The 20,251-nt window shown below is 40.0% G+C and overlaps 1 protein-coding gene across 3 annotated transcripts, besides 1 other annotated feature; it reads left to right on the top strand.

The window, feature by feature from the left end:
- Window positions 445–674: an enhancer, noted in NCBI's record as "active region_9499". NCBI's record gives its function as "activates an Ori minimal core promoter by ATAC-STARR-seq in GM12878 lymphoblastoid cells {active_cell/tissue: GM12878}" and the evidence as "EXISTENCE:reporter gene assay evidence [ECO:0000049][PMID:35858748]".
- On the top strand, window positions 481–19,934 carry GTF2A2 (general transcription factor IIA subunit 2). 3 transcript variants are annotated; one of them, NM_001320930.2, is made up of 6 exons: window positions 481–590; window positions 963–1,181; window positions 5,670–5,790; window positions 7,223–7,327; window positions 15,734–15,860; window positions 18,839–19,934. In NM_001320930.2, the coding sequence occupies exons 3-6, from the start codon at window positions 5,719–5,721 to the stop codon at window positions 18,862–18,864; spliced, it is 330 nt and encodes a 109-aa protein (NP_001307859.1). In that variant the 5' UTR covers window positions 481–590; window positions 963–1,181; window positions 5,670–5,718; the 3' UTR covers window positions 18,865–19,934. The 3 variants fall into 3 exon arrangements, with proteins under 3 accessions (NP_001307859.1, NP_004483.1, NP_001307858.1); NM_004492.3 differs by lacking the exon at window positions 963–1,181; NM_001320929.2 differs by lacking the exons at window positions 481–590; window positions 963–1,181 and adding an exon at window positions 691–872.
- Window positions 19,935–20,251: the final 317 nt, after the last annotated feature.

Below are 20,251 nucleotides of genomic sequence, written 5' to 3'. Positions count from 1 at the left end.
TTAGTAGAGACAGGATTTCACCATATTATGCTGGTCGCGAACTCCTGACCTCCGGTGATCGACCCGCCTCAGCCTCCCAAAGTGCTGGGATTAAGGCGTGCGCCACCGCGCCCGGCCCCTGCTATAATCTTTTCAGAATTCGTCTGCAAGGTCTTCAACACTGTTACCCTGAACACACTTCCGGCATGAAATATGAATGCCCTACATTTCTTAAATTGTGCATCTAACAATGGAGAAGATTAGTCTCTAAAAATTATAATTCCCTTAGGAACGATTTAGTAAACCTGGTGAATTACTCGAGCAGAGCGCCTGTCCACCACTTTAAGGCTTCAAGCTCCAGCCCGACGCCCCTCCTTCCCTCTCCACGCCCTTCCCTGACAAGGCTTGAGTGGCGGGCGAGAGCAGGGCTGGGCGGGGCCTCCCGTCCCTCGGGCGGGGTGTCACTTCCAGGTTCCGCGAGCACTTCCGGGTCGTCAGCTCAGTTCTGCGGTTTCTGCGGCGGCTGGAGAGGTGGTCGGAGAAGTAGGAACCTCCTGCCGGGCTCGTGGCGGCTTCTGTCCGCTCCGCGGAGGGAAGCGCCTTCCCCACAGGTAGTGGGTTAGGGAGGGCAGGGTTAGGGAGGGAAGCAGGGCCGCGCTCCCTGCCGCCCCCCCGGAGTCGGAGTGCGTTGGTGGGGTAGTCTCTGAGGGCCCTTCGCTCCTGGGATCTGCCCGTTACCGACCGTTGCCGGCAAGGCCCCGCGGCCGGCACCGGAGAAGGGCGGCGAGGCGGCGGTGATGGTCGCGTCCCGTGGCGGGAGGCTCGTCGTTCACGGGGCGCCCACAGAACCCACCTAGGGGAGGTCTTCAGCCCACCACCGTATTTTCAGCCAGGTGAATGTCTTAAAGCATCCACTAGCGCCCTGTGAGTTTTGCCGAATTTCGGAGAGCATTTTTTAAATGTCTCATTCCTGTGCTTTGTAGCTTGTTGTTTGAAGTCTGCCTTCCAACTTTCTTCGTGCGAACTCCGACAAAAGGAACGAATTTTAAACTTGGTGGTTTAATCAAAAAATGCTAGGACGAGTTACTTCCGAATTTGACTTCTAATTTTCTGAACTGCAAAACAAGAAGGGAACAATAAATTTCTGTGGCTGATACCACATCTAAAAGATTAGAACACTTAACAAGGAATTTTTAAAGAATGTAAGAACATTGAAATCAGCACTTTTAACAAACGTTTAACGCAGGGCTATTTTCTAGATAAACTCAAAAATTTGTCAAATGGGACACGATGCACGATTCTGTATTCCTACTCTGTGGAGTTTTTATCTACCTATTGGGACTTCTTGCCCTTTTTAACCCCCTCTCCCCTCCCACACGCATATTATACTTACTGATATTTGCCTTCGTTTACTGAACAGATTTTTTTTTGGCTCCTATTGTGTGCCAGGTACTGTTCTAGACGCCTATTTTACTTAAGTGAACAAAATAAAAAGCTTTGCCCTCATGGAGCTTACATTCTATTAGAGGATGCAGAAAATAAAATATATAATGGTGTTAGAAAGTGATGGTGCCATCAAAAAAAAAAAGAGAAATATAAAGGAGTACGGGAAAGTTCCAGAGTGGAGGTGGGAACTGGTATTTTAAAGATGACGGTGGTCAGTTTGAGCCTCATTTAGTAGGTGTTATTTGAGCAAAGACTTGAAGGAATTAAGAAAATTTGCTAAGTAAATATCAGGAAGAGCATTCAGGCAGATAGGAAAGCCAATACAAATGCTTTTAGGCCTGTCATGTTTGAGGAATAGCAAGGAAGCCAGTGTATCTGGAGAGGGATGAGCAAGAGTTTTGGGGGTGGAGGGACAAGAAGATAAAGTCAAAGAGATCATGGTAGCCGGATCATTGTAAAGGCTGATAGAAGCCATGGGAGATTTTGAATAGAGGAGAGGTATGTTGTAACTGAAGTTTTAGAAGATCACCCTGGCTGTGAGTTGTGATTAGAGTGTAGGGGTGAGTGTAGAAGCAGGGAAATCATTTAGGAGATTTTTGCAGTAATCCAGATGACGAGAGTGGCCCAGGTCAGGGTGATAACCGTAGGGATGGTGAGAAGTGGTTGGATTCTGAATGCATTTTGAAGGTAGGCCTTACAGTATTTGCTAGGAATTGGATATGGAGAGTGAGATAGAGGGAGTGGAGGATGAAATCAAAGGTTTTGCCCAAGCTCGTAGAAGTATGGAGTTCTTTAAGCCACGATGCAAAAGATAACAAATAGAGATGTTGAGTAGGCAGCTAGATTCAGGAGTGAGAAGTTCTATGCTATATGAATTTGGGGATCATCAGCAGTGGTACTTAAACCATGAGAATAAATGTTATCCGTAAGGAATGGGTGTAGACGGAAAGCAGCAGAGGCCTAAGGACTGTGTCCTGTGATATTAAGAGTTTAGCGAAAACGGGATCAACCAGCAAACAGTATTAAGAAGGATGAACTTGTGAGTTAGGACAATCCGAAAAGGGCAGTGTCCCAGAAGCCAAGGTAAGATCCTGTACGAAAGAGGAGGGAGTAATCAGCTGTGTCCAATATTCTGAGTGAGGCTAGAGAATTAGCTTTAGCATTGCCATTGATGACCTTCACCAACCTGTTTCCTTAGAGTGCTAGAGGCAAAAATTAGCTTAAGAGAAAATAGGAAAAAAGGAATTGGGAGACAGTGAATACAGACAAAACTAAGGGATTTTGCTGCAAAGGGGAACTGAGAAATAGGATGTAGCTGGCAGGGGATTTGGGTTGAGGGGTTTTTGTTTTGTTTTACTTTTTAAGGTGGGAGAAGTAGCCACCTATGTGTTTGCTAATGGAAATGATCCGCAGAGAGGGAAAATTTGATGGTGAGGGAGAGAAGTAACAACTGAATTGTCAGAACAATATCCTTGAGTGAATTAGAAGACAATGCCTGATACAAAGGTAGAAGGATTGGATTTAGATAAAAATAGGTATAGAGTTCAACTATAGTGACAGGGAGGGAGAGTATATGGGTACAGGTTGGGCATCCCAAATTCAAAATGCTCCAAAATCCAAAACTTTGAGCACCAACATGACACTGAAAGGAAATGCTCTTTGGAGCATTTCAGAGCTTGAATTTGGGGTACTCAATCACTAAGTATATACGATGCAGATATTCTAAAATCCAAAAGACTTCAGGTCCCAAGCATTTCAGATAAGGAATGTTCAACCTGTATAGCTATTGGTAGGTAGCTGGATGTGGCTGTGAGTCTGGAAGTTATTGCTGCAGTTTCCTCAGTGAAGTGTAATACTTTGTGTCATACTCAGATACATTTCTAATATATTAGCACTTTAACATACTACCAAGTATTTCACTCAACAGATACTTAATAGATACTACATACGTTGTTCTAGTTGGTAAATATGTAAATGAACAGAAGTCCCTGTCTTCAGTGTGTCATCTATTTTAGTAGATGGAGACAGAATAAGCATATATATGTTAGCTTCAGTTATTGGTATGAATGAAAATAAAGCAGTGTGAGGAAGAAGGAAGGTAATTCTTTCTTATAGGTTGATTATAGAAGGCCTTTCTGATGGAGTAATGCTTGACCCAGAGATCTGAATCAAATGAGAGAGTGAACTATGCAGGTATTTGGAAAGAATACTGTCAGCAAAAAGAAGAGCCACCACAAAGGCCCTCAAGCAGGATCATGCTTCCCCTGTCAAAGAACAGCAGGGGACCAGTATGACCAGAGCAGAGTGAGAGGGTGAGTGGGCGAAGATAGGGAAGTAGGCACTGGGGGGCCCAAATCACATAGGCCTTCCAAGCCATGGACTCTGTGGTTTTCACTGAGATGGGATGCTGCCATTGGTGGTTTTGAATAGACCAGTGATGTGATTTGCCTTATGTTTTAAAGTCTTAGTGTGGCTACTATGAGGGTGGGGTTGGGATAGGCAAGACTGGAAATAAGGAGACCATGAGTTATCACATTAACTTTAGTGACAGATGATGGTGACTTAGGGTAATAGCATTGAAGATGGTAGAAGCTGTCAGATTCTGGCTATAGTTAGAAGGACGAGCTGAAAGGTTGGCTGATGGATTGGATGCCAGGTAAGAAAAAGAGAAGTTACTCTTGACTCAGGTTTTTGAGCTGTTACAGGAAGACTATGTTTACTGTTACCGAGGTGGGTAAGACTGAGGACAGAGCATATTTGCAAGAGTAGCATCAGAAACATGGTTTTTGACAAATTGAATTTGAGCTACCTACTTGATATTTTTATCCAGTGTCAAGCAGGCAGTTTTATATATGGGTACAAAGGGAGAATTGAGGGCTGGAGATACAAATTTGAGAGTCATCACCAGATAGTAGATGGTATTTAAAGCCGTAAGTCTGGATGAGGTAACTAAGAGAGTAAAGTATGTGGAAAATAGAGGACCCAAGAAAACTTAGGGCAGTTCAACAGTTACAAGTCAGGGAGCTGAGGAGGAACCAGCAAAAGAAAATAAAAAATACAATGGTATCCAGTGACATGAGAACTGAGAATGCTGTCTCAAAGCCAAAGAAATGTTTCAAGAAGGCAGAAATGATCTGTTGAATCCAGTGCTAGCAAGGTGTGAAATGTAAGGACTGATGGCTGGCCATTATTTTTGCTGAGTTTTATCTGATGATTGCTCCTCAAATGTATTTTCCCCCATCCATCTCCAGACTGAAAGGGCCATGAGGTCAAGATCTTACACCTGACGTGTAGTGGAAGCTCAGTAAATATTTATTGACTGTGTACTGCTGCCACCCTTTTCGAGCCCCCATCCCTCATCTGTTTCTAAATCACGCACTGAAGCCCAGCTGTCTGACCTTTCCTGCCTAAAATTCTTCAGTGACTCCCCACTGCTTGCACCTATCCTGCCAAACAACTCCATCTATGCTGTCTCTTTCAGCTTCATCTCCTGCCACTCCCTATTCGTACTTATGCCCTGATAATGTAGAACAGTTTATGTTTTTCCCCACAAACATTTCATCCTTCCATGGCTTTACTTATTCTATTCTGTCAGCCTCTGGAATGACTTCCCTCCTCTGCTTGGCTAAAGTCTAGCTTAAAGAACCTGGAAGCTTTTCTGAGCCAGCTCACTTCTACAGGCAGCCTCCATGGTATGCTTTGTATCTTTATCCCAGTTCTTATCTTTTTGTATGTTTGTTACATTCTCTAGAGTATAAATTTTTAGGATTGGGAGCATGCCTTTAATCATCATCTTCTCTCTGGAACCTGTCACAGTGCCATTCTCTTGGTAGGCACTCTGTAAATACTGAATTTAGAGAGAACAGGAAAATAAAGGGGCAGACATGCAAACATGAGCTGAAGATTTTACCAGTGACTTGACAGCAGGTAGAAAGGACAGTACATGGAAAATTCTAGACTAAGTCAGAAGGCAGACATTTGAAGGAAATGGTAAAGACATTTTAATAAATATAACAGCTATACTGCATAAAGGAGTATAAATGCCCATGTCAAAATCATGGGGAAAAAAACTGGAAAATCATTTGTAGCAATTCCTTGTAATTCTAAAATGATTATCTAGTAATGTGCAACCACTAAGCGTTCTCCTAGTTCTATATTAGAATATTTGAGGTAGATGATATTATATACATAATTTATGATGTTACAGTATGATCTTTTTTAACAATTTTATATTAAATTTTTAGGACATCAATGCAAGCTTGAATAAGAAAAACAAATTCTTCCTCCTAAGCCATGGCATATCAGTTATACAGAAATACTACTTTGGGAAACAGTCTTCAGGAGAGCCTAGATGAGCTCATACAGGTGGGAGACTGAATTAAAAATCAAACATTTTTATCTTGATGGGTTTACAGTAATTCTTGTCATATCACTTAGGCAAAGAGATATGAGGTAAAATATCTTGGACTATTTGACCCAGCAAGTCAGTAACACTGATTAAATTACCTCAAATTCTTGTTTATTACACTGTCCTGACAACAGGACACAAAACATGATTGAATGATATCATTAAATATAGCTAAATCTGGGTACATGCAGTGTTTCATGCCTCTAATCCCAGCACTTTAGGAGGACAAGGTGGAAGGATCGCTTGAGGCCAGAAGTTTGAGACCAGCTTAAGCAACATAGCACCACCCATCTCCACAAAAAATAAAAAAATTAGTTCGGTGTGGGCGCATGCCTATAGTCCCAGTTACTCGGGAGGCTGAGGTGAGAGGATGGCTTGAACCCAGGAGTTTGAGGCTTAAGTGCACTATGATGGTACCACTGTACTCCAGCCTTGGTGACAGAGCAACATCCTGCCTCTAAATAAATAAAGTTAAATCTTCAAAAATTTTTGTTCAACATAAAAATTGAGATTGTTGGTTTCCCCCTTCTCAAATTTAGGGAAGAAAGTCATATACTTTTTAGCTTTAAGATAGTTTTGTCCAATTTAAGTCTTCTGAGATTTACAAGTCTGAATTTATATTTCAATTTTAAGAGAATTAACCCTTCTGTATAATTCTCCCAAATAAAAACATATTAAGTATTTCCAGCTGGGCACCATGGCTCATGACTGTAATCCCAGCACTTTGGGAGGCCGAGGCAGGCGGATCACCCAAGGTCAAGAGTTAGAGACCAGCCTGACCAACATGGAGAAACCCTGTCTCTACTAAAAATATAAAATTAGCTGGGTGTGGTGGCACACATCTGTAATCCCAGCTACTTGGGAGGCTGAGGCAGGAGAATCGCTTGAATGCGGGAGGCAGAGGTTGTGGTGAGCTAAGATTGCGCCATTGCACTCCAGCCTGGGGAACAAGAGCGAAACTCCGTCTCACAAAAAAGGAAAAAAAAAAAAAACATATTAAGTATTTCCATTTGTTGGTATATTTTATGAGATTCAATAAAATTTAATAGGTTTTTTGTTTGTTAATATAGGCCCTGTGTATTTAAAAGAAACACCTCTTTGTCTATCTTCTCCTTTCCAGCCACTGTAAGGGAAAATTGACAAAGTTTTGTTCTGGCTTTGTAACATCACTGCATGTTTTCTCTTCAAGATTGTTTGTGTCAAGATAGTACAAAAGATGTCTTCAAGCTTGGTGCTTCATCATCAGTTATGGCAAAGGAGATAAAGGAATTCTAGTTTAGAGGCTTTGGTTAACCTCAGTTAAATTTTAGATGATAATTTGTATATTTTTATTTACTTTGTCTTTAATGTTCTTCCTTAACGGGATTTATGACCTTTACCTTTTCTCAGTCTCAACAGATCACCCCCCAACTTGCCCTTCAAGTTCTACTTCAGTTTGATAAGGCTATAAATGCAGCACTGGCTCAGAGGGTCAGGAACAGAGTCAATTTCAGGGTAAGGATATTTTCCTGAATCTAGAAGCCTGTACCAATGGTTGTTAAAACACTGATTTTTTTTTAGGACCCCTACATATTTATTAATCATAAGAGGAAGAGGTGGCTTAGTCAATTTTTGGAACTTGTTTTATAGTAACTAAATTATACTTTTCAATCAACTATAAACTAAGTTGATCCACTTAATGTGAGATACAGAGATGTTTTTAGATTTTTATTTCATTGTTTCACAAATCAGCCTTTGTATGTTTGGCTACCTTCCCTGAAGAGTTACTGAGATTCCAAACACCTGAAATATTATCTGCAGGATTAAAGGTAAGTGGCGGAGTAATCCCCAAGGTTCTGTTATGGTTTTCAAAGTCTGGCCTTTCCCCGTTCCAGGGAAGTAGAGTTATTTCTAGAAACTTCATGTTGCCTCCCTCCGACTCTTAGGTAACTTGGCTGATAAAAACCTGATCTCTAATGGTAGATAACAGTCTATTCTGGTAGCTTGGTCTCACTTCAGTCACTTATACTTTGAACAGTAGTCATCCAAAGCTGAATAAAATTATCTCTCTCAATTTCCTGATAACTTCAGATTAAGTGCCCATTGAAAGAGTCATGGTGCAACAGAAATAATTTTACCACATTATGGTATTGATGGAGTCATATAATATATGATGATGTTTGCTTATTATTTATCTAACTTTATGTTTATATTGTATTATAAGGCATAACCTGTAGAAATATAGTCAAAAGAAGGTTAAAATATGGTTACAACCAAAATTTGATCATTAGTTAACATCTGCCTACTTCATTTGGTACTTAAACATTCAGTAAACAATTTGAGTGTCTGTTAACATACCAGGCATGCTCTAGATACACAGAGATGAAAAGATAACATACCAGGCATGTTCTAGATACTCAGAGATGAACAAGATAGACAAAGCCCCATTTGACTTAAATTTTAGTGAAGGATAAAATCTCCATGTATTTTATATTAATATAAATAAGTCTCATATATCAGTTTCATGTGCCAAAAAATTATCTGGAGTAAAATATGCCTTCAAGACTGTATAATTTGACCAGTGGATCCATGAATTTTTAACAGTAATGATTCTGCCAAAATTAGTTTGTGTTTTTTTATATACCCATATGCAGAAGTCTGCCCAGATGATCCATGTTAATACATAAATTTTGCTCTAATAAGAAATTTGGTGGACTACTTATCAGAGGCAAGATAGTTCACAAGGCCTAACTAGTCATCCTCTAGGTGCATTATTGTAGGTTTCTAGTTTGGATTTCTTTAGCTAGAGTTAAAGTAATTTGACATTTACATTTATCTTGCATAGTGTTTTGTGAGTTTGTCTATTTTCGAAAAGCTATAAATAATTGCTCTCAGCCTTGATCAGAACTTTTCCATTCTTGCTTTTTATTTTCCTGCTGCTACTATTCTAACTCACGCTTTTTATCACCCTACTCCTGGGTTACAGCCAACTTGATCAATTTTAAATCCAGAATGTTTGCAAATAACATTCTGTTTAGCTTAGTGTAGCATATGGCCAAGACAAAAGATAATGTGTTAGAAATACCTAATTTTCAGAGCCATTTTGCTAGATCAAATTTAGGTATATATTTTTTATGTATAATTTGCTGACCTAGCAATGAGTAAGCATCCTTTACAAGAATAGAATAATCCTATATAGCATGTTAAATTGTTTTATAGTTTTTTTTGTTTGTTTTTGTTTTTGTTTTTTGAGACAGAGTCTTGCTCTGTCGCCCAGGCTGGAGTGCAGTGGCGAGATCTTGGCTCACTGCAAGCTCCGCCTCCCGGGTTCACGCCATTCTCCTGCCTCAGCCCCCCGAGTAGCTGGGACTACAGGTGCCCGCCACCACGCCTGGCTAATTTTTTGTATTTTTAGTAGAGAGGGGGTTTCACCGTATTTGCCAGGATGGTCTCTATCTCCTGACCTCGTGATCTGCCCACCTCGACCTCCCAAAGTGCTGGGATTACAGGCTTGAGCCACTGCGCCCGGCCTGTTTTTTGTTTTAAATCCTTTTATGGGTTCAATATAAGTGAAATTATTTAGTAGAGTGTTATAGGAGAAAATCCTCTTAAGTATGAGAGCTAAGGTTTTAATCATTTATATGTTTTAATTTATTAGTAAAAAACTCATATGTACCATGGAGCTTGAACTTAATTTTTAGGGAGAAAATTCAGATTGAAGTAGTATTTGTAACTAGGCTAGGCTTTTATTTATTTATTTATTCTTTTTTTTTTTTTTTTTTGAGACGAAGTCTGTTACCCAGGCTGGAATGCAGTGGCGCAATCTCGGCTCACTGCAACCTCTGCCTCCTGGGTTCAAGCGATTCTTCTGTCTCAGCCTCCTGAATAGCTGGGATTACAGGCACACGCCACAACGCCCAGCTAATTTTTGTATTTTTAGTAAGAGATGGGATTTCACTATGTTGGCCAGGCTGGTCTCGAACTCCTGACCTCATGATCCGCCCGCCTCGGCCTCCCAAAGTGCTGGAATTACAGGCGTGAGGTACCGCACCCGGCCATAACTAGGCTTTTAAAGAGCCATTGTATGGTTTTGGGAGAACATATGCCCATAGATAAAAGTAATGGTTACTTTATAGTGTTGAGCCTCGAACAGTAATTAACAAGCGTTAAAAGATTTAATGCCACACCCCCCAAAAATAAGATTTAGTGATCAAGAAAAATAGCCCTTCTAACAAAACTGAAAGTTTCCTTTTCCCTGTTTTTTGATGTTTCTGTAACAAACATTTATTATATAACTTTTAAGATGTTCTTTTAGGCTGGGTACAGTGGCTCATGCCTGTAACCCCAGCACTTTGGGAGGTCAAGGTGGGCAGATCACTTGAGGTCAGGAATTTGAGACCAGACTGGCCAACACAGTGAAACCTCATCTTTACTAAAATGAGCTGGGCATGGTGGTGCATGCCTGTAGTCCCAGCTACTTGGAAGGCTGAGGCGGGAGAATCGCTTGAATCCAGGAGGCGGAGGTTGCAGTGAGCCAAGATCGCGCCACTGCACTCTAGCTTGGGCCACAGAGTGAGACTGTATCTTAAAAAAAATACAAAAACATGTTGCCCCATTGTGGATACATGTAAAACCAAAAATGTATTTATTAAAAGTGCATTGAAGATACAATTTGGCCAAATGATTAAGTGTTAAAAGTAATATTTGACCAAAGCTAAATATCTTATAGAAGAAACTTTTTGAATTTAAAGAATAAATCTAAAATTACACTTTGAAAAGTATAATTATCTGGCACTGCAGCTCAAGCCTGTAATCCCAGCACCTTGGGAGGCCAAGGTGGGAGGATCACTTGAGGGCAGGAGTTCAAGAGCAGTCTGCGAAATATAGTGAAACCCTGTCCCTACAAACAAACAAAACAAACAAAGTAGCTGGGTGTGATGGTGTGTGCCCATAGTCCCAGCTGCTGGGGAGGCTGAGGTGAGAGGGCAGCTTGAGCCCAGGAGGTTGTGGCTGCAGTGAGCCATGATCATGCCATTGCATTTCAGCCTGGGTGACACAGCTAGACCCTGCTTCAAAAAAACTATATGTATGTAAATATGTATAAACGCATATAAATTATATAATATGAAAGACATGTATATATTATGTTTGTAATTATATAATTATAGAGTATATGTATATATAGTATATACATATATATAAACATCGTTTTTATACTATACTTAAGATACTAAATGGATTCTGACTTTCAAATCAGTGAAAAAGCAAGATATTTAAATAAGTAAAAATTATATACAGAAAAGCTTATTTCATGTTAGAGATTCTAATTCAAATTATTCTAAAAAGATTATATTATTTCTTACGTTTACCTTTTTAAAAACATTTGTTGGCTCAGAAGTTACGTAGCTAATGTGCACTTTGATGATGTTAATTGTCAATTTTCATTTACAGTTGGAAGGCATTTAATATACTTTAATATCTTTCAGTCAAGTTTTGTAGCATTTTATTTTTGTGGTAAAATAAATGAAGCATATACATTTATACTGCAACTAATGGAATTTCAGCATATGATATGTAAGATTTTTCACTCCAATCTACATCTAAAATGCTTTATATTTGAAAGTGAATACTCACATACTGGCTCATAAATCCCAAGGACTTGCTTTGTTTAAATTATTTACATAACATTATCCAATGAAAGTAATTTACTGCAAGCTAAGCTATGAGGACACAAAGGCATAAGAATGATATGACTTTGGGAACTTTGGGGAAAGGGTGGGAGGGTGGCGAGGGATAAAAGACTACACATTTTTTAAAAGAGAAAGTAAGGCAAGGTACAGTGGTTCATGCCTGTAATCCCAGCACTTTGGGAGGCCAAGGCAGGCAGACCACTTGAGGTCAGGAGTTCAAGACCAGCCTGACCAATATGGTAAAACCCGTGTCTACTAAAAATACAAAAATTAGCTGGGTGTGGTGGCGCATTCCTGTAGTCCCAGCTATTTGGGAAGCCAAGGCAGGAGAATCACTTGAACCCAGGTGGTGGAGGTTGCAGTGAGCCAAGATCACACCACTGTGCTCCATCCTGGGCAACACAGCAAGACTCTGTCTCAAAACAAAAAAAGTAATATACACACTTTTTTTTTTTTTTTTAAGGCGGAGCCTTACTCTGTCACTCAAGCTGGAGTGCAATGGTGTGATCTCGCCTCACTGTGACCCCCGCCTCCTGGGTTCAAGCGATTCTCCAGCCTCAGCCTCCCGAGTAGCTGGGATTACAGGCACCCACCATCATGCCCGTCTAATTTTTATATTTACGTAGAGACGGGGTTTCACTATGTTGGCCAGGCTGGTCTTGAACTCCTCACCTCAGTGACCCTCCCACCTCAGCATCCCGAAGTGCTGGGATTACAGGTGTGAGCCACCACACCCGGCCAGTAATATACACACTCTTAAGATCGTGGATTACACACAACTTCAGGATGCTGGAAATGAACGTTGAGTTTGGCATCTAGCTGTTTAGCTTTCCAGAGGTTCAGACTGTAGCAAACGAGGAGATCTAATTTTTAAATATATTTTATAGGCTTACAATTTTGTGTCTTTTTCCCTTAACGTCATGGGTGACTTTCAGTATATTTATCACTCCACTGAAATTGCTGTTGCCGAGTTACTTTTGCTAAATCTAATGCATCATTTGTAGTGCTATTGATGATTGTTTTTTTGAACCCCTATTTCCCTTGAAACCATACTGTGTGAGCTTTTCTCGTATTCCCTGGCCTGTTGCTCTCAGACTCCTCTGTAGTTCTGTCTCTGCTTATCATTTAATTGTTGGTATTTCTTAGGGTTACAGCGTGCGTCCGCTGTCCTTGGTCTCATCCAACCCTCTGGCTTTGGTTAAACTGAATATCATAATCACATGCTTTCTCCTATACTCCAATTACTTATTGGACATCATGACTTAGATATACCTGAAATTCAACAAGTTCCAAATTTAACTTTACTCCCCAACCAGCTTTTTCTGTGAATGCATTGACATTCAAGTCAGAAACTTGGGAGTTACCGTGGATTTCTCTGTCCCCCAACCCCACCATATTTATAGTTGTCCATTCCTACCGGTCCTACTTTAAAAGTCTCTCCATTTCTATTGATCCCTTTACTATACTATTACTGTAGTAAAGCCACTTTCACCTCTCTGATTCACCCAGCTAACAGACATCAGCTTCATAGTTGGTCTTACTTCCTTTAGTCATACTCCTGTCTAACCCATTATGTCATCACCAAAAATGCAAATCTGATCAGACTCTTATGCTTAAGATCCTTCACTGACTTCCCAGTACCGTTAGGATGGGGCAAAGGTTTTCCAAGGTTCTCCTTTATCTTAGGACCTCCTGACACGTTCTGTTTTCTGGAATCAACCACCCCATTCCAAGTGTTTGTCTTCCTTTCCATTATCCCTCCTCTCCATTGACTCTTACTTATTCTTTAGGACTCAACTTAAACTTCACTTTTTGAGAGAAGCTCTCTGCCTTGTGTCCTCCATACTCTTGAGTGCCTTTGCTGTACTCTCATTGTACCCAGTAACTTACTCTTTCATAGCACTGTTATACTACGTATTTACCTGTTTTAATGATCTCCCTGCTAAACTCAGCTCACCAGTGGCAGGGAGCTGTGCTTACCATTGTATCCTCAGAGGCCAGCATAGTCTAGCACACAGTAATTACTCATTTATTATATTCATTCATTCATAGCTATCACTTTCCTTAGTCATTCTCACTTGATAGACTATTTAGAATGAATCCCATTTTTGCTATTACAATAATATTGCAAGCAGCATTTTCATGCTTGGTGGTTTCTGAGTTGAAGATTTTAGGCATTTAAGTGTTGCCTACTAAATTTCCTATGTGACTATATGTGTGCATGTGTATATCTCAGGTTTTAATTGTATTCTGTTGGTGTCTATGCACGACTTTCATCACATTCTTTTTAAAAATTTCCGGCCGGGCACGGTGGCTCACACATGTAATCCCAGCACTTTGGGAGGCCGAGGTGGGCAGATCACCTGAGGTCAGAAGTTTAAGACGAGCCTGGCCAACATGGCAAAACCCCGCCTCTACTAAAAATACAAAAATAAGTCTGACATGGTGGCAGACGCCTGTAATCCCAGCTACTTGGGAGGCTGAGGCAGGAGAATCACTTGAACCTGGGAGACAGAGGTTGCAGTTGGTCAAGATCACAGCACTGCACTCCAGCCTGGGCAACAGAGTGAGACTCTATCTCAAAAAAATAAAAATAGGCTGGGTGCTATGGCTCACGCCTGTAATTCCAAAACTTTGGGAGGCCAAGGTGGGCAGATCACCTGAGGTCAGGAGTTTGAGACCAGCCTGGACAACATGGTGAAACCCATCTCTACTAAAAATATAAAAATTAGACAGGCATGGTGGCCTACGCCCTGTAGTCCCAGCTACTCTGGAGGCTGAGACAGGAGAATAGCTAGAACCCAGGAAGTGGAGGTTGCAGTGAGCTGAGATTACACCCCTGCCCTCCAGCCTGGGCCACAGAGTGAGACTCCATCTCCAAAAAAAAAAAAAAAAAAAGTAAAAATTTCCTTTTGATGCTCAAGTATATATATATTCCTACTTTAAACAATTTTTTTTTCTTAATTATAAGAATGTGTCCTGGGCATGGTGGCTCACGCCTGTAATCTCAGCACTTTGGGAGGCTGAGGCGGGAGGATTGCTTGAGGCCAAAAGTTTGACTAGCCCGGCCAACATAACAAGACCCTGTCTCTATTTCTTTTTAAATATTAAAATAGGCTGGTGCAGTGATTCATGCCTGTAATCCCAGCACTTTGGGAGGCCACGGCGGGCAGATCATCTGAGGTCAGGAGTTTGAGACCAGCCTGGCTAACGTGGTGAAACCCTGTCTCTACTAAAAATACAAAAGTTAGCTAGGCGTGGTGGCATACACCTGCAATCCCAGCTACTCAGGAGGCTGAGGCAGGAGAATAGCTTGAACTTGGGTGGCGGAGGTTGCAGTGATCCAAGATCTCACCACTGCACTGCAGCCTGGGCAACAGAGTGAGACTCTGTCTCAAAAAAAAAAAAAAAAAAAAAAAAATTATATAGGCCAGGCGCGGTGGTTCACACTGGTAATCCCAGCACTTTGGGAGGCTGAGGTGGGTGGATCACCTGAGGTCAGAGTTCGAGACCATCCTGGCCAACATGGTGAAACACCATCTCTGCTAAAAATAAAAAAACTAGCTGGGCGTGGTGGCAGGCACCTGTAGTCCCAGCTACTTGGGAGGCTGAGGTAGGAGAATCTCTTGAACCTGGGAGGTGGAGGTTGCAGTGAGCCAAGATCGCACCACTGCACTCCAGCGTGGCAACAGAGCAAGACTCCATCTCAAAAAAATAAAATGAAAACGTATAAAAAATTATAAGTTGCACAAGACAATGAATGTTGTAGTCTTAGTGACCGATGCAGTAATGCATCTGAGCCAAGTCACAGGATTAAAATTTAGTGTTTCTAAGAAATCCCTGCTTTTGTACATTTGGAGAATTAACATACACAATAAAATATGTAACTTTTAACAAATATTTCCATAATTTGAATGAACTTTCATAACTTAGCCACATGAGGGCAATAGAAATACAAACGCAAGTTTTTATTTTTTCTTCATATTTCAGGTAAGTAATTTGCAATGCAGACTAAAAATACAGTCTGCCAACTAAAATATTTTTGAAATCTTCCCTTAGCAAATTTGTCTGGTGGTTGTTTTTTTAATAGCTAGGATTAAAGTTAAGGAAAATCTTAAGCTAAGCATTAAACTTATTATGTTCTTGGTAGCTAAGATCTCTTAAATTGCTTTGGAGAAAAATGTGAGGGGAAAAAACGTTTCACGGTATTTCTAAATGTTTTGTTTTAAAGGGCTCTCTAAATACGTACAGATTCTGCGATAATGTGTGGACTTTTGTACTGAATGATGTTGAATTCAGAGAGGTGACAGAACTTATTAAAGTGGATAAAGTGAAAATTGTAGCCTGTGATGGTAAAAGTAAGTGCTTGCCTTATTTCTGTGAAAGCTACTTGAAACCTTGTTTTTATGAGCCTTTAGAAGATCTGCATCCATATGAAAAGCCTAACGGGTAAAATGGCCCTATGATCAATTCCCAGATAAGCCCAGGCTTTTATCTCCACTAAATTCTGATTACATATCTCAAACAGTGCTCTTACTTTGTGACTTAATAACATATAGACTGCTTACACAGGTTGGATTTGTGTGGGTAAAATAAGCAAATTAATAAGCATTTGTTCCCTATTTCCATTACAAATTTTAAGTGTTTATCAGGCTTTTCAGACACCTTTTACTTTAAGGAATAATTTTTACAATCCTATGGTTTCTATGTTGCTGGAGACCCATATATTTAAAGAGTTATTTTAAACAGGATTTTAATTAGCCATAAGAACTTTGGAGTCATGATGGTAAATATTCATCTAATCTGTTAAATATGACATGTGCAAGTGAACTTTTCACACCAGACCTAGGAACTTCTTCAGGTCCTTAAATGTTTCAAAAACTATACACCTAATTTCTGTTTCATGATTAGTTTATTTCCTTTTTGCTAATTATATTATTTTAAATATACTTCATAATCTGAACCATTTGTGTTAAGAGCAGCTATTCCAGAAAGTAAATAGAAAAGACTGCTGCTCTTTGACACAGGGAGTTTTGAAAAGCAAGAGAAAGATATGTAGAAAGTAACCCCCTCCATTTCCCTGTTTGAGTCGGATTTGTTTTATATATTTTGCATTTCCAAAGAAATAGCTAATCAATCAATCACTGAAAAAATGTAGAGAATACAAAAAAGCACATGGAAGAAAAACGTTCTCTGTAACACTACCTGATGGTGTTATAACTTTTTTTTGCAAAAATGTATGTATATGTAGACATTAGTAAATGTATTTTTGAGTTTACTACTCTTAAGCCTTAAAAAAAAAAAAAAAAAAAGAGTCTTGCTGTATTGCCCAGGCTGGTCTTAAACTCCTGGGCTCAGGTGACCTTCCCACCTCCTTCTCCCAGAGTGCTGGGATTACAGGCGTGAGCCCCTGCACTTAAGCCTGATTTTTAGTAGCTATATAAAATTACACCTTAAGCCCTTTTTAAAGAAATAGTCTCTTCCAGATATCAGAAAGTCTCTGAACCTAGCAGCGTTATTGTTGGGGACTTGTTATAGTTCAGAAGGTTACCTAGGAATAATCATTCTAAGAACTTTGGGCATAGTTAACTTTTTATTATAGTCATTAGATACATCTTTGTCATTACAGCAAGGAACAATATTTGGGTCTTTTTTAAATTCCTGTGAAGGTGGTGCTGTTTCCTGAATCACAAGATAACATTTCTATATTTGAAATTGTGTACAATTTTTTTCATATTTAAGGTAACAGCATCCTCGTAACCCTTGTTATATTTATTTTTATTAGTCTGTAGAATTCAGGGATTAATTTATAATACCTAGATCTCTATCAAAATGAATTAATGACATACACCAGTACTGCTTAGAACTTTTTTTTAGCACGGACATGTTCTGTTGCATTTTCCAATAGCCACTCATGGCTGTTGTACTTGAAATGTGGGTATGGGCAGCTGAGGAACTTAACTCAATGTTTTAATTTTATTAATTTGAATTTAGCCACATATGGCTAGCCAGTGGTTACCATATTGGACAGAACAGATGTAGACTAGTAGAGTGTCAGTTTCAGTCATTTGAACCATACATTTGAACCATAGCTGAGAACCAGAAAATCAGTAAATAAAGCCTCTGAACAGAATAAATACTGGTGTATAATATCAAAGAATCCATGTAAAGATACGTATTTTACTGATAGGAGCTCCTGTCTGGTAGTCCTTAGAGTGTGTTTCTCTTTACTATACAAGATTGTTTTCCAAACTTCAGTGGATGAGAAGTAGCAGATTGGCCTTGTTTATTGCAGTAGTTTTTGAGGATTTTCCCTCACACTTCAGCACGGTGTAGTAATTGATCTTTAGTGAGAAGATTGTTGACTCAAGGAAAGCTTAAATTGTATTCCATTTACTTTATATCTGCAGAAAAGAATGCAGTGTTAGAAGTTTGGGACAGTAGGCCAGGTGCAGTGGCTCACGCCTGTAATCCCAGCACTTTGGGAGGCCAAGTTGGGTAGATCACTTGAGGCCAGGAGTTTGAGAGCAGCCTGGCCAACATGGTGAAACTCCATCTCTACTAAAAATACAAAAATTAGCCAGGCATGGTGGTACCCGCCTGTAATCCCAGCTGCTGCGGAGGCTGAGGCAGGACAATTGCTTAAACCCGAGAGGTGGAGATTGCAGTGAGCTGAGATTGCGCTACTGCACTCCAGCCTGGGCAACACAGTGTGACTCTGTCTTTAAAAAAAAATTGCCAGGCACGGTGGCTCACACCTCTAATGCCAGCACTTTGGGATGCCGAGGCGGGCAGATCACGAGGTCAGGAGATCGAGACCATCCTGGCTAACATGGTGAAACCCCGTCTCTAAAGTACAAAAAATTAGCTGGGCGAGGTGGCGGGCACCTGTAGTCCCAGCTACTCGGGAGGCTGAGGCAGGAGAATGGCGTGAACCCCCGGGGGGCAGAGCCTGCAGTGAGCCAAGATCACGCCACTGCACTCCAGCCTGGGCAACAGCTAGACTCCATCTCAAAAAAAAAAAAAAAATTTGGGACAGTAAAGGACCTGGGGGAAGAAAGGTTATGTAACAATTATGTGAACCAAATGTAGTTCAACTTAGTTTTACTCTAGTATGAATATGAGGAGCTAAGCATCTTTGTATCTCTGCTTAAAAGGAAACTTACTGAAGTTCAACATATTTACAGTGTCACCTTTCCTCCTGTTCTTCCCCACCCTGCAAGCCACCACCACTATTAGTCCTGTGTTCTCATTTTTGATAGTCTTAAAATAGTTAATTGTAAAATTAAATTGCTCCTTGAATTTACTTTACTTTACTTTCTCTTTTGTTTCCTAGATACTGGCTCCAATACTACAGAATGAATAGAAAAAATATGACTTTTTTACACCATCTTCTGTTATTCATTGCTTTTGAAGAGAAGCATAGAAGAGACTTTTTATTTATTCTAGAATTGCAGAAATGACTACACTGTGCTATACCAGAGAATTCCAGTAGAAAGAAACTTGTAACTCTGTAGCCTCTTACATCACCTTTATTATACAGCATGAAAAACCATAACTTTTTTTTAAGGACAAAAGTTGTTGCCTTCCTAAGAACCTTCTTTAATAAACTCATTTTAAAACTCTGAGTAATAACTGGTGAAGCTATTAAGGTAGCAATATGAAGATATTAGATAATGCATTTTCCCATTTCCTTTGCAAGGAACATGATGCCCTTTCAGAATGCTTATTTCAATAAAGTCATGTTTTGTCAGTTGTAACTTTACCTGATGAAAGCATCAGCAGGGGCAAAACCAAACTCTGGATGGAATTTTTTAAGAAAATCCCTTGCTTTTTAAAATACAAAACCAAAGTTAATCATTGGTATAAAAAAACCCAAGTACAACTTGATTAGGAAAAGTTAGACAATCATAGCAAAAACAAAACCAAAAAACTTTCCTTCTTAGACCAGGTAACATGAGGAAGGGGGAAAAAAACCCAAACAAAATAGTCCCCCCACATGACAGGTGTCTTCAGCTTGCCATATTGATCCAAAGTTCATACATTTTATCATGTACAAGATACATTAGACTTACAATAAAGTCTAATTATTAGACTTTTATGTCAGTGGATTGTGCTTGCAGAAATACAGAAGTAACATACTGACCCTAGGTGAGGAGTTTCTTACATGGTTAACTGGATTGACCCAATTGGAGTAAAAGATTTTTGCTGTTACCTCGATGCTCCTGCAGTTGTTACCTCAGCATGCCACTGTAGTCCTTGACTCTCACATTAAAACTAACTTTGGCTAGGTACTGGTGGCTCACACCTGTAAGTAATCCCAGTACTTTAGGAGGCTGAGACTGGAGGATTACTTGAGTCCAGGAGTTGGAGACCAGCCTGGCCAATATAGACTGTCCCTACAAAGAAAATAAAATTGTTTCATCTTCCAATTCATTCTATGCATGTATTTCCATGTTCCCTTCCTAACCTCCACTACTACCTATTACATAGTCAAATGCATACCAGGCAAATGCAGAGGTATGTATGGTGTATTTATGGTGGCTAAGCTAAATATGAAAACTGGTTTTAATGGATGAAATGTAAAAACTCTAGGTGTATTCCATACTGGTTACCTAAATGAGTACTCTAGCATCTATTATAACTGACTCAACTTCAGTCAGCCTGAAATACCTGTCCCATCACAGAAATGGTCTCCCACTAAATAATGCTGAGCAAAGCTCTAGGTACATGAAAAAACAATCAAGGA

Source organism: Homo sapiens, chromosome 15 (assembly GCF_000001405.40).
Source record: "Homo sapiens chromosome 15, GRCh38.p14 Primary Assembly".
NCBI classification, from domain to species: domain Eukaryota; kingdom Metazoa; phylum Chordata; class Mammalia; order Primates; family Hominidae; genus Homo; species Homo sapiens.
This window is presented reverse-complemented; position numbering and strand designations above follow the sequence as displayed.

Excerpts from the sequence above, each read along its gene's own strand:
- GTF2A2 (NM_004492.3), top strand. The coding sequence starts at position 5,719 with ATGGCATATCAGTTATACAGAAATACTACTTTGGGAAACAGTCTTCAG. Across the intron at positions 7,328-15,733 it reads GGAACAGAGTCAATTTCAGG|GGCTCTCTAAATACGTACAG; the intron begins GTAAGGATATTT and ends TTTGTTTTAAAG. Across the intron at positions 15,861-18,838 it reads TGTAGCCTGTGATGGTAAAA|ATACTGGCTCCAATACTACA; the intron begins GTAAGTGCTTGC and ends TTTGTTTCCTAG.